The sequence below is a fragment of the Homo sapiens genome, chromosome 9 (assembly GCF_000001405.40).
Source record: "Homo sapiens chromosome 9, GRCh38.p14 Primary Assembly".
Classification (NCBI taxonomy): Eukaryota; Metazoa; Chordata; class Mammalia; order Primates; family Hominidae; genus Homo; species Homo sapiens.
Window position 1 is genome coordinate 76,750,321 of NC_000009.12, and position 12,231 is coordinate 76,762,551.

The 12,231-nt window shown below is 42.5% G+C and overlaps 1 protein-coding gene across 34 annotated transcripts in view, besides 2 other annotated features; it reads right to left on the minus strand.

Annotated features, from left to right (window-relative positions):
• Positions 1–12,231, minus strand: part of PRUNE2 (prune homolog 2 with BCH domain) — a 294,739-nt gene that overhangs the window by 138,945 nt on the left and 143,563 nt on the right. The window lies entirely within an intron of this gene.
• Positions 5,299–5,348: an enhancer, noted in NCBI's record as "active region_28481". NCBI's record gives its function as "activates an Ori minimal core promoter by ATAC-STARR-seq in GM12878 lymphoblastoid cells {active_cell/tissue: GM12878}" and the evidence as "EXISTENCE:reporter gene assay evidence [ECO:0000049][PMID:35858748]".
• Positions 5,959–6,028: an enhancer, noted in NCBI's record as "active region_28482". NCBI's record gives its function as "activates an Ori minimal core promoter by ATAC-STARR-seq in GM12878 lymphoblastoid cells {active_cell/tissue: GM12878}" and the evidence as "EXISTENCE:reporter gene assay evidence [ECO:0000049][PMID:35858748]".

A 12,231-nucleotide genomic window follows, 5' to 3' on the forward strand; every position in this document is an offset into this window, starting at 1 on the left:
TGGGGCAGTCTTGTGAGACCAAGCCAATGAGGCTTGCACTCATTCCAGGTAAACAGTGTCTGAATTTAATTGAATTACAGAACACCCAATTGTTGTAGCAGAGAATTGCTTGGTGTGGGAAAAAAACACCCCACACATTTGGTGGCCAGAAGTACAGAGGAGAGGAGAAAATTAGTTTTCCTATGCATAGTCAATATCTCCCTGTCAGGGCCACAGCTTGCAGGGCCTGAAATCCAGTTCACAATCCCAGCCAAGATGCATTTACAAAGTCAGTTTTTGCGGTGGGGCACTGTGAACTGAAGGAAAGAGTCCCTCATTTGCACAAGAGTCCATGGGCTAGTCTTGATTGCTATGCTCTGGGTAAGACAAAAGGAGGTACTGAACTAAGGCAGTCGCAGTGGGAGCAGAGAGAAGGTGACATGCTCACATTTGCCTTGTTGAGTTTGAGGCGCTTGTATGAAAACCAAGAGAGCTGTATGCCATTCCTTGAAAGGTATCCTTATGTGTCTAGAAATCAATGAAAGGTCAGGCTTACAAATATAATTGGGAAGTTGCTAATGCAAACCTAAAGGATCGTTTGTGGGAATGTGGACTGGGATTGAGACTCTGTAGCAAAAGGCATGGGAATTCACTGTTATTTATTGAACCAGACTAGGAGACAAGTATAAAGATTAAGGAAAGAAATGATTAATGTTCAACAGAAGGCTCCTGCTGTATCAATTTGCCAAGCTTTTTGGCTCAACATATTAGCCCACCTAAATCTAGACCCGTAACATACGCATAACGCACAAGAAGTTGAACTTCCTTTTTGCCTCACAAATAGCCTCATCTAATGCACTCTGCTAAGCAGTCTGGATGTAAACAGCTGTTCTTTGCAAGAATGCTAGATGCTCTTCACTGACAGATGGCAGAAGTTCCCTAGGGGACACAGACACACACACACACACACACAGACACACACACACACACAGAAATCTTAGTAGGGTCAATAACATTGATATTCATCAATGAAGTTACTGAAATTTAGAGTCAGTGAAAGGCCTGGAATTAAAAGCATACTTAAGTTAGTGTGTCTTCTAGGCTTAATGCCAGCACAGATATTATTATTTTGCATACTTGCTATGAACAAAAACACTTTCCATTTTATATTTCACTTTTAAGAGTCAGAGATCATTTGCAACAGTTAAATCCTTAAATGCTTGTCCTATATACCTCTGATTTCCTTCTGCCCTTGTCACAGGAAATAGAAGGCCTTTAAATTTGTATCTTCGTGGGAAATGTACCAGGCAAATCCATACTGAAATATGGCAGAATAGCTCTGTTTGGTTTGTTTAAATCAATATATTTGGAAAAAAACCTCTCACCGAAAATACTACTAGAAACTCTTACTGATCCCTCCAACCTCCAGTCAAAATGAATAACTAAATAGATTTGGTTAGACAGTTATTGTGATAGAAAAGAAAGGATAGGGCTATTTAGATTACATTCTTTACCAAAGTCTAAGTCAGAAAACTAGTGGTGGTTTGGAAGCAGTGGATTTTGTTCCTATCAAATTTAAGTGTGGAGAACTATCAAATTTGGATCTCATGAAAAGCCATGACATCATTTAGGAGCATCCACTGAAATTTCTTCTCCCCAAGACAGATAGATTAGTTAGGCTCTTCATAGACTCATATAACTCTAAAATTAAAATGAAAGAAAAATCAAATATCAGGATTAGATGGGCCTTAAAAGCTATTTAGATCAACGACTGACTCAATTCCTGTTTTTTTTTTGGTTTTTTTTTTTTTTTTTTGAGACGGAGTCTCACTCTGTCGCCCAGGCTGGAGTGCAATGGTGCAATCTCGGCTCACTGCAAACTCCGCCTCCTGGGTTCACGCCATTCTCCTGCCTCAGCCTCCCAAGTAGCTGGGACTACAGGTGCCCGCCACCACACCTGGCTAATTTTTTGTATTTTTAGTAGAGACGGGGTTTCACCGTGTTAGCCAGGATGGTCGCGATCTCCTGACCTCGTGATCCACCTGCCTCGGCCTCCCAAAGTGCTGGGATTACAGGCGTGAGCCACCGCGCCCGGCAACTCACTCAATTCTTAAATGCCTTATACCTCACTCTTGCAGGCAGTTACAAAGCCGGGGATTGAACACTTCTACAGACGGGAAGCTCATGACCACATGAGATGTTCATTCCATCTTTGGATAGGATATTAGAAAGTTTTTTTCCTTATATGGAAGTAAAATTTTCTCCTTAACCTTTTTTCTATAAGCTTTCAGTCTCCTGAATAGAAGGTTAATAATAACAGCAAATATTTCAGCACTTATAATACAGCAGGCAACGCTCTGAGCATATCACAGGGATTAATTTATCAATTCCTCAAAATAATCATTTTGGACAGGTTAATAATGGTATTAATATCATTCCCCAATCTACATATAGAAGACTGGGGTGCAGAGAAGTTAAGCAAGACTACGTGCTTTAAAAATATTTGATCCAGCAGTTGGTTAGGGATACTGACTCCAGAGCCCAAGTTCTACCCTTGAATAACCCAAAGATTGGGTAGTCCAATCCTTGAGAGCATTTGAAAAGAGTCATTGGGCTGCCCTCTGATAATTCTAATAGAAAAAGAAAACTATTGCTTTTAACCTCATCTATTAATGAGATATTTAAACTATGTATTAACTCTAAAGAAAGTATTACTTTTTCAAAGATACACTGTTTTGTTTTTGTTTGGAGACAGGGTCTTGCTCTGTCACCTAGGCTAGAGTGCAGTGGTGTGATCACAACTTACTAGAGTCTCCACCTCCTGGGCTCAATGGATCCTTCTGCCTCAGCCCCTTGAGTAGCTAGGACCACAGGCAAGAGCTACCATGCCTGGCTAATTTTTGTATTTTTTGTGGAAATGGAGTCTCATTATGTTGCCCAGGTTGGTCTCAAACTTCTAGATTCAAGTGAGTCCTGCCTCAACCTCCCAAAGTACTGGGATTACAAGTGTGAGCCACTGTGCCCTCCAAAAATATGTTTTAAGCATATTTATTACTAAAGGATGCAATTTATATGAAACTTACAATATGACATTAGAACTGAGAGCCATCTGCTTATGTAGGCCTGTGTTTTCTACTGCAACAAAATTTTTAAAAAGCTCTTGTTCTCTGTCAGGAGTAATAAGGAACCTTGTGAAACAGATGACCTGTGGGTTCTCCATTCTGGATGAATGTTACAACACCTGAGGGTGCATTTTGAAAAATGACCCCCAGGCCTGCCAGTGCTCACCTCTCCCCTGAGATTCTGGTCCAGATAATCAGGAATAGGGCCACGCTTCAGTAGTTTTTCAAAGTTGCCTAAGTGCCAGCACTTTGGGAGGCCGAGGCGGGCAGATCACGAGGTCAGGAGATCGTGACCATCCTGGCTAACATGGTGAAACCCCGTCTATACTAAAAGAAATACAAAAAAATTAGCTGGGCGTGGTGGCGGGCACCTGTAGTCCCAGCTACTCGGGAGGCTGAGGCAGGAGAATGGCGTGAACCCAGGAGACGGAGCTTGCAGTGAGCTGAGATTGAGCCACTGCACTCCAGCCTGGGTGACTGAGCAAGACTCTGTCTCAGAAAAAAAAAAAAAAAAGTTGCCTAAGTGATTCCACCATACAGGCAGGGCTGAGAACCATGGATCTAGTGACTAGACATGGTTCAGATTGCAAACCTGTAAAAGGCCACATGGCTAGTAGGAGGCAAAAGATGAGACTGAGACTGGAACTCAAGTTTTATGACTTAATAATCTGGAATTTTTTCCAATGCGTGTTATTGTCAGCATCTCTTCTTTACACCTAGTCCCTTAAAAATAAAAAAAATAGCCCTTTGCAGTGAAAAGGATGCACATGTGAGTGAACATAGAGAAAAGCTAGTTTTAAGGCTGCTTCAGGTTTGAACTACTCAGAACCTGCTAATTTGTGGGAGTGGGGGTGGGGTGGGGAAGCAGAATAACAGATCTATCTCTGCTGTGTTAGGACTTCCCCTCCTTGATTTTGCCGTCTGACACATAAATTAGTATGTCCCAGGACAGCCCAACTTCACTAACTTCACAGAAACATTCTATCATGTCTTAGGTCCTAATGAATCATCTATCCATGAACGTCCCTTTTTATATGGGCACGCATGAACATCATTTTCTAAGGAGTGCCTTCGGGTGGTTCTTACCTTAATTCAACTCCTTGCTGAGTTTTACCGGCCAAACACTTCCTGTCTTTCTTTTGAATGCTTGTGGAGCTATGGTGGCAGTTTGTACACTTGCTTTGCATTTGACCAGTTAGGTAGGACGTTTCCTAAGTCCATCACCTTAGCTCTTAAAATTTCATTAAAACTTTATATCCTTCCGGCCAGGCATGGTGGCTCACGTCTGTAAACCCAGCACTTTGGGAGGCCAAGGCGGGTAGATCACGAGATCAAGAGATGGAGACCATCCTGGCCAATATGGTGAAACCCTGTCTCTACTAAAAAATACAAAAATTAGCTGGGCATGTTGGCACACTGCTGTAGTCCCAGCTACTTGGGAGGCTGAGGCAGGAGAATCGCTTGAACCCGGGAGGCGGAGGTTGCAGTGAGCCGAGATTGTGGCACTGCACTCCAGCCTGGTGACAGAGTGAGACTCGGTCTCAAAAAAAAAAAAAAAAAAAAAAAACCCAAAAAAACAAAAGCAAAAACAAAAAAAACTTTTTATGGTTCCTTATCGCTCTTTTTAATATCATTACTAATTTATCTTTTTTATTCATTCGACGATTAAACAGATACTTATTGGAGGACTTCTGTATTCCCAAACCCTGATTTATTTTTCTTTAAGGTGCTTTCTCAAAACATGAAATCACACTGTATATTTAATTGTTTATGTGTTTGCTATTCGTCTCCCCTGCCCCCAGCACAGCAACAGGGACTTTATCACGTTCACACCATATCTTTGATACCTAAAGCACTGGCTCATTCACGGTAGATGGATACTTACTGAATGAGTGAAGAAATAAACAAATGAGTAAACGAATGAAAAAAAGATAAACCGATGGAGAGAGAGAATGAGGGAGGGAGGAATGGATGGCTGGATGGGTGGTTAAGTGAACACCATGTGCCACTCTGGGGATATAAAAAAAAATACTCAGCTTCCTGCCCTAAAGAATTTGTGGCTAAGCATTCAAGAAGCTACACTGTCTAGTGGGGGTGTGGACAAAGAACGCTGGGAGGAGAGGGCAGGAATCTAGAAGCCTGCCTTGAGGAGTCAGGGAAGGCATTCAAGGGGCAAGAAGGGGTCTTATTAAAATGCAGATTCTGATTCAGATACCTCGGGGAGAATCTGGATTTCTCACAAGCTTCCAGGTAACGCTCAATCTGCTGCTGACCATACTTTGTTTTTGTTTCTGTTTTGAGTCAGGGTCTCACTTTGTCACCCCAGGCTGGAGTGCAGTGACGCAATCTCGGCTCACTGCAGGTCGACTTCCCTAGTTCAAACGATTGTCTCGCTTCAGCCCGCCAAGTAGCTGAGACCACAGGTGCACGCCACCACGCCCCGGTAAATTTTTGCATTTTTAGTAGAGACAAGGTTTTGCCATGTTGTCCAGGCTGATCTTGAACTCCTGAGCTTAAGTGATCCACCTGCCTCGGCCTCCCAAAGTGCTGGGACTATAGGCGTGAGCCACCGCGCCTGGCCAGGGGATCATACTTTGAGGAGCGAAACTTTCAAATAATTTCCTGGTGGTCCTTCCCTTTCACCTCCTACCAACCACCAGCTTTGGCTACTAAGAAAGTGAAAGTAGATGAAAAATATTTAAAATTAACAAACCTCAGCTCTTCACAGAGCCATTTTGATGAATATCTGAAAATCCCCCAACTAATGAGAGGTCATGTAAGTGCATATGTCAAAAGGAACTGCTTTTTTAAGATAAAAAATTACTCTTGATTTAATGTATTCCACATTTATCAGTGACTTACCCTAACGTCTCTTCTAATCTGCATGAAAACGTCTCTGTATATCCTGGATCACTTACGGCACCCAGGAACTGTGAAGCTGGCCTAAACCAGTCCCTGGCAGCTCTCCTCTTTGAATTGGTAAACCCCTGGGAGCTGCCTGTATGGCTCACTGGCCAGATGGCGCTGCTTCCCCATTCTTTCCAGAGTTGCATGGCTGTCGCAACTAGGAACCAGGCGCTGGCTTTCCATCCTAACATTTGAATGCTTCCTCCATCAGAACAGCTGCATTCTCTTTGCCAACACATGTGTTTTTCAAAATCTCATTAGACATCTAACATTTTCAGCCAGATTGTGTCCTGAAGGCACTGTGGCCTCCCAGGAGGATTCCCTGAGTCTGGAAAAGGTACTAGGATGAGGAAAAGGCAGGTTATTAAAAAGTGGGAAACAGAGGACCTGCTTCAAGTCTGCAAACCTTTGTCATGGAAGCAAAATGGATGTTTCACGCCAAGTGTGAGAAAGCCTCCATCACCAGGGACAGGGGGGTGCCTTGATGCTTGATGCTGTTCCCCACCCACCCTGCCCGTGCCCTGCCCCCCCGTGATACTTAAACTGCAGTATTTGCAGCATTTTTGGGGGGCTGGAATAGCCAATGCAAGCAAAGTGTTTAATCAGTATTAATCTCCCAGAATGTCACTGTTACCAGCTATCAATCTGCATAAATTCTACTGCAAAACTTTAGGAAGAAATGCTATTCAGAGCAAATGATGCATCAAATTCAAACAGGCCATCAAGACTGCTAATGGATTTTAATAGCAGCTATTACAGCATAATAGTATTTTCCCAACAGCTGTTTGTTGATACAATTCTGCATTTACAGGACCTTTATATCCAATCCCAGGAGATGGCTCACCATTCATTTATAATCATTTGGTTCCACCTACAAACAAATGCTACTTTATTTGCATTTGGAGATTGTGAATGGTCTGCAGATCTGACCTACTCCCACCTCATTCAATGAAACCAGCAGCGAATATTACAAGCTAGATTAATTAGTTAATATTTAGATGTACTAACTACTGCCAGAAAAATACTGTCAACTGGCAAACTCAAAGAGAAGCTTTTTTTGATTGCTTGGCTGCATTCTGAGTCATGTTAGTTTTGAAAACTGCTTTTTACTCGTATGTAAATGAGTAAAGGGCCTAAACTAGGATTCAGACTGAAATTTCAGAAACTAAAGCATCTATAAACCATTCTAAGTTTTTCTGCTTGAGATGACTAATATTAGAGAATGCCAATAAATCACTGCCAGAGTGAAGGGCTCAACTGGTAATAATTGCGATAATAACTGAAGTGAGGAAGAATTTATTAATGAAGCTCAAAGCTTTGTTTCTTGTGGAATGGTCAAGAGATTACAACAGGCCAGGCATGGTGGCTCATACCTGTAACTCCAGCATTTTGGGAAGCAGAGGCAGGGAATCACTCGAGACCAGCCTGGGTAACATGGAGAAATCCCATCTCTACAAAAATTAGCTGTACATGGTGGCATGCATCTATAGTTCCAGTGACTCAGGAAGCTGAGGCAGGAGGATCCCTGGGCCCCACCCAAAAAAAGAGAGATTAGAATAGATCCCGAAAGTCTTAGTGCAGTTTTAAGCTTTAATGACTTCAGAAACATGCATACTAAAAACTTACATAAAACATCATTTGAAAGTTTGTTTTCATTCCTTTTATACTGATTTAGTTCTGTGAATTAAAAAATTTTTTAAATAATAATTTTTTCTTCTGGTTAACCTTTGCTATCTTCAATCAGGAGACTATAACAAAATAGAAAGTTCAAAATACATTATTCAAAACTTATAAAACTAATAGAGTAAAAGAGATGAAAATAACTAAACTTCCAAAAGCAGCGTTTTGTAAGCTTATAGTATTTCTATATCTGACAGTATTAACGCATAAAACTGCACTGAGGCTTTTGGGACCAACTGTGTAGAACTTAAATAAATGCAAACTTGGTGAAACTAAGAAGTAATGCTGAAGTCACCCTCCTGTCCAGCCATGGGTGGTATGGTTCTTAAAGGAATCTGCATGCATAACTCCTAGTATTTTCAGTCCAGGAGGTGCTGAGGGGTTTCCTTGCTTAGTGCTGCAGAGAGTTGCAGAAGAATCAAGTGGGAATAACAATGATAGGAAATAATTGCTCTGTTGAATCAGGGTGTCTGGTTGTTATATCTTTAAAAAAATTTTTTTTTTTTTTTTTTAGACAGAGTCTCACTGTCAGTTAGGATGGAGTGCAGCACCGTGATACTAGCTCACTGCAGTCTCAAGCCTCAAGGGCTGCTCCCGCCTCAGCCTCCTGAGTAGCTGGGACTACAGGCAAGCATCACAATGCCCAGATGAATCACGGTGTTTGGAAAGGATGCAGGCATTTTCTACCCCACAGAACTTTACAATCCATACAAGCATTTCTCTCTACATTATCACATTTAACCCTCAACACAATCTGGATAGGTGGATAAGAAGGCTGAAACCACAGGAAATTTTTGTGATGGGTCCAGGAAAAAAAAAATTACGGGTAGCAAATGGCTGTGAATTTAAAGTCAAAGCTTCTGATCCTTTTCTATTCCATGATCACCCTTGACCAGGGGAACTGGTCCAGGCAACGTAGTCTAGGAGGGGCTCAGGGGGTTCAGACAGGAGCAGATCAGAAGGTGGCAAATAGGGACAAGAACCTAAGGTCTGCTCTGCTCCAGTGCAAAGCAGGTGTTTGCTGGAGAAGCAGACTTCATACTGGAAGAAACAAGCCCCTTTTAGCTGGTGGCCACTGAGCTGACTGAGTTACAGTCCCCTCGAGGTAGAGTGTTCAGCCACAGAAGCCTTGCCTGCTCACCTCCCCGTCTGGGTCTCCCTCCCTGGAGACCACCATTTGAGGTGTAATGGAAATAGTGCATTTGATGCCTGCCTCTGTCACAGAGTTTTTGTGTGACTGTGAACTCATACTTACCTCTGATACAAACAGGAAGCAGGGAGATACTGGGTAGAAGAGGGCAGTTCCCTTACCCCACCCTCAATCCTGGAAACCCGTATCCCTAAATGGGAATAAGCATTCCTGTTTTCACACCCAAATGTTGCCTTTTGGCCCACCACGCCCTGCTATCCTGTGCCCACACAGACCCCAAACCCCAGGCTCCATGAGCAGATGAGCAGAAGAGCAGAGGGACAGCAGAAGAGCAGCGTGGCAGAGAAGGAGAGAAGAAAAGGAGTGTCTGAACATCGAGAGGACTTTGGCTGGGGTCATTTGGAGAGGAGAGTGGCTGAACTCCAGGGGAAGATCATCTTCCCACTCCATTCCCTTTCCAGCTCCCCATCCATCCTGCTGAAAGCCATCTTCGTCTGGCAATAAAATCCCCCACATTTACCATCTTTCAATTTATCCATGTGGCCTGATTCTTCCTGGATGCTGGACAAGAACCCAGGTACCAAGAGGGCACTGAGCTGGTTAACACTTAAGCCATCTGTGGACTGCAGAGTTAAAAGAGCACTGTAGCATGCCCACTGGGGCTTTGGGAGTCACAGGCACCCAGCCCTAGATGCTACCACGGGGCCGGAGCCCAGAAGCACTCGCCCTGGCTCCTGCACCTGCCCATCTGCGTGCTCCTCCTCCCATAAGGGGTTTGAGCACACAGCTGCCAAACAGATGAGCCACACCCCTGTCACACGTCCTGCGAGGGCAGTCAGGGAATTCTCCAGTTTCACTTCCTTTGTACACTAACATAATAATAGTTATCCCCTACAATTTAAATAAATTAGTTTAAAAAGCTGGTGCACTTGGCAAAGAGCTTGTCCATTGGCTCTAATCTGGCTCCTTGGTGTAGAAACAGGGCTGCCTTCCTCTTCCCTGGGTACCTGGCAGTTGGGGTCTGTTGATGGTACTGCAACCTGAGCACCCGGCACACAGCAGGCACTCCGTATATGTTTCTGAATGAATGGATGGATATCAAAACCATACTCACATTTTCTCCATCACACACCAGCTACTTCCCTGGTACCCTTTTGTCCATTACTGATGCTATAGGATATTATTTCTATCATTTTCTTTTCCTCATCACCTAGGGCAGATATTTTGGAGTCACCCTTGATATCACTGCTCCCCCATATCAGTACCAAAGATTCTTCTCTTTTTCTCTAATCTACTTTTTCCCTTCTTACTTTAATAATTCCAGGTCACATGCTTATGACTTGTATCCAAAACCATTAGAATAACCTCACTGCTCTTCCTGACATCTGTTTACCCTGCATTAGTCCACACTACATGCTGCATCCAGATTAATCATCCTAACTATGACCATGATTTTAGCCAAAAGCCCCCCAAAAGGAACAGGTATCACAGTATTCCACATCACAGCCACGTCCTACCTCTCCACCCTCATCTTCTATGTGTCCTTCTAGACTCACTCTACTTCAACCAAGCCGAAAACCCTGGCTCTCTACATGCATCTTAGATTTACTGCATTCATGCCTAGCAAGAAACCTGTACATGTCCAGACTCGGGCCGGGCGCGGTGACCTGTAATCCCAGCACTTTGGGAGGTGGAGGTGGGTGGATCACTTGAGGCCAGAAGTTCGAGACCAGCCTGGCCAACACTGCGAAACTCCATCTCTATTAAAAATACAAAAATTAGCCGGGTGCGGTGGCCCATGCCTGTAGTCCCAGCTACTTGGGAGGCTGAGGCACGAGAATTGCTTGAACCCAGGAGGCAGAGGTTGCGGTGAGCCGAGATCACACCACTGCACTCCGGCCTGGGTGACAGACTGAGACTCTGTCTCAAAAAAAAAAAAAAAAAAATACTCAACAGAGGTTTGCTGAATTTAATCCAACCAAATTTAATAGAATTGCCTGAATCTTTATGCTGAAAAATGAATCTGAATTAGAAGCCTCATTTGGGGAGTTTAAATCTACCTCATGCCTTTCTTCCTCCTCCACCATTGGTCCTGTCTTCTGTGAGATTGCTGCCCCATCTTTTTTTTTCTTGAGTCATAATACACAAACTGGTCAGAAGTGGAACACACCATCAAGGAAGGGGTGATGCATCTGTGAGGAACAGTCACCTATATTTGTGTAAGTCAGACAATTCTCATTTGATAAAATGGTGTCGACAAAAATTAATCATCTATATACCTCAAGTCTATGTTTAGGGGCCTTTAATCCCCAAATAACAAAAGACTTAGTCAATTTAATTTGTAAGAATTCTACTTTTGTAGACCTGAACTGGATACAATTTTATCTCTGGACATCAAAGCCCGGGGTCAAATGATTGCTTTTCTCTTTTGCTGGGAGTTTTTGTTGTCATGTTTTATACTTTAGACATTTTACTTTTGGTCACTAGGTGGCTCTGAATTTCCATTAGAAAGTGAAAGTCTTTAGAAAACACTGGAAAACATACATAATTTTCACCAAATAATTTTAAAATACTTCATTCAACAATGATTGACTTGAGAATATTAATCAAAGTTTATCAAAAGACCCATAAACTCCAAATAGCACTCTGTCAATCTATCTTATGTAGATTTTGAGATAGATTATTTATAGCTTTACATGAATTATAGCTTTTGCATTGGTTATAGGTACAATTTTTAAATGATTCATAAACTCTGTTCCAAATAATGCCACTCTGGAGCTATATCATATTATGTATCATGTATGGTCAAACAACTGGGTCCGTCATATTTAAAAGACAACTTCAAAATACTGTCATATAACTTTAATGGCTTTAAAGTCTTTCCTAAGTGTACTTTAGCAGCCTCCAATGCATCTGGTGCCAACTCTGAAATCATTTTTAAGGTTAGCAATTTTAAACAAAAAGAATGGTTAGAACAAGGACCTTTAGCCAGTTTGGAAGTCACCAACAGTTTCCTTCTGTTGTTGGAAAAAGTGATTTCTTTGCCCTGAGTTCTACAACAACCATTAAATGTGCTGCATTTGACTCCTGTAAAGATTTAACTTTTTTCCAAATCTTTAATGACAATACTCTCTGTTATTTCATCAAAAAGTGTGTTAACATAGGAAGCAGTGATCCAAAGTCATTTCCGGATAACCTATTAATAAGGGAGGCAGGAATGGCGGTTGCAGAAATGTGCGCAGAGAGAGCAACTACCATGGGAATAATCCAGATGGCGGTCTGCTTGGCTCGAACTTTCTGGAAGAGGCCCATCTTTAAAATGCTTAATACCACTTTTTACTATAGATTCCACACATGTTCATTTCTTAACAAACTCTGAGAGAGGTGGTGAGA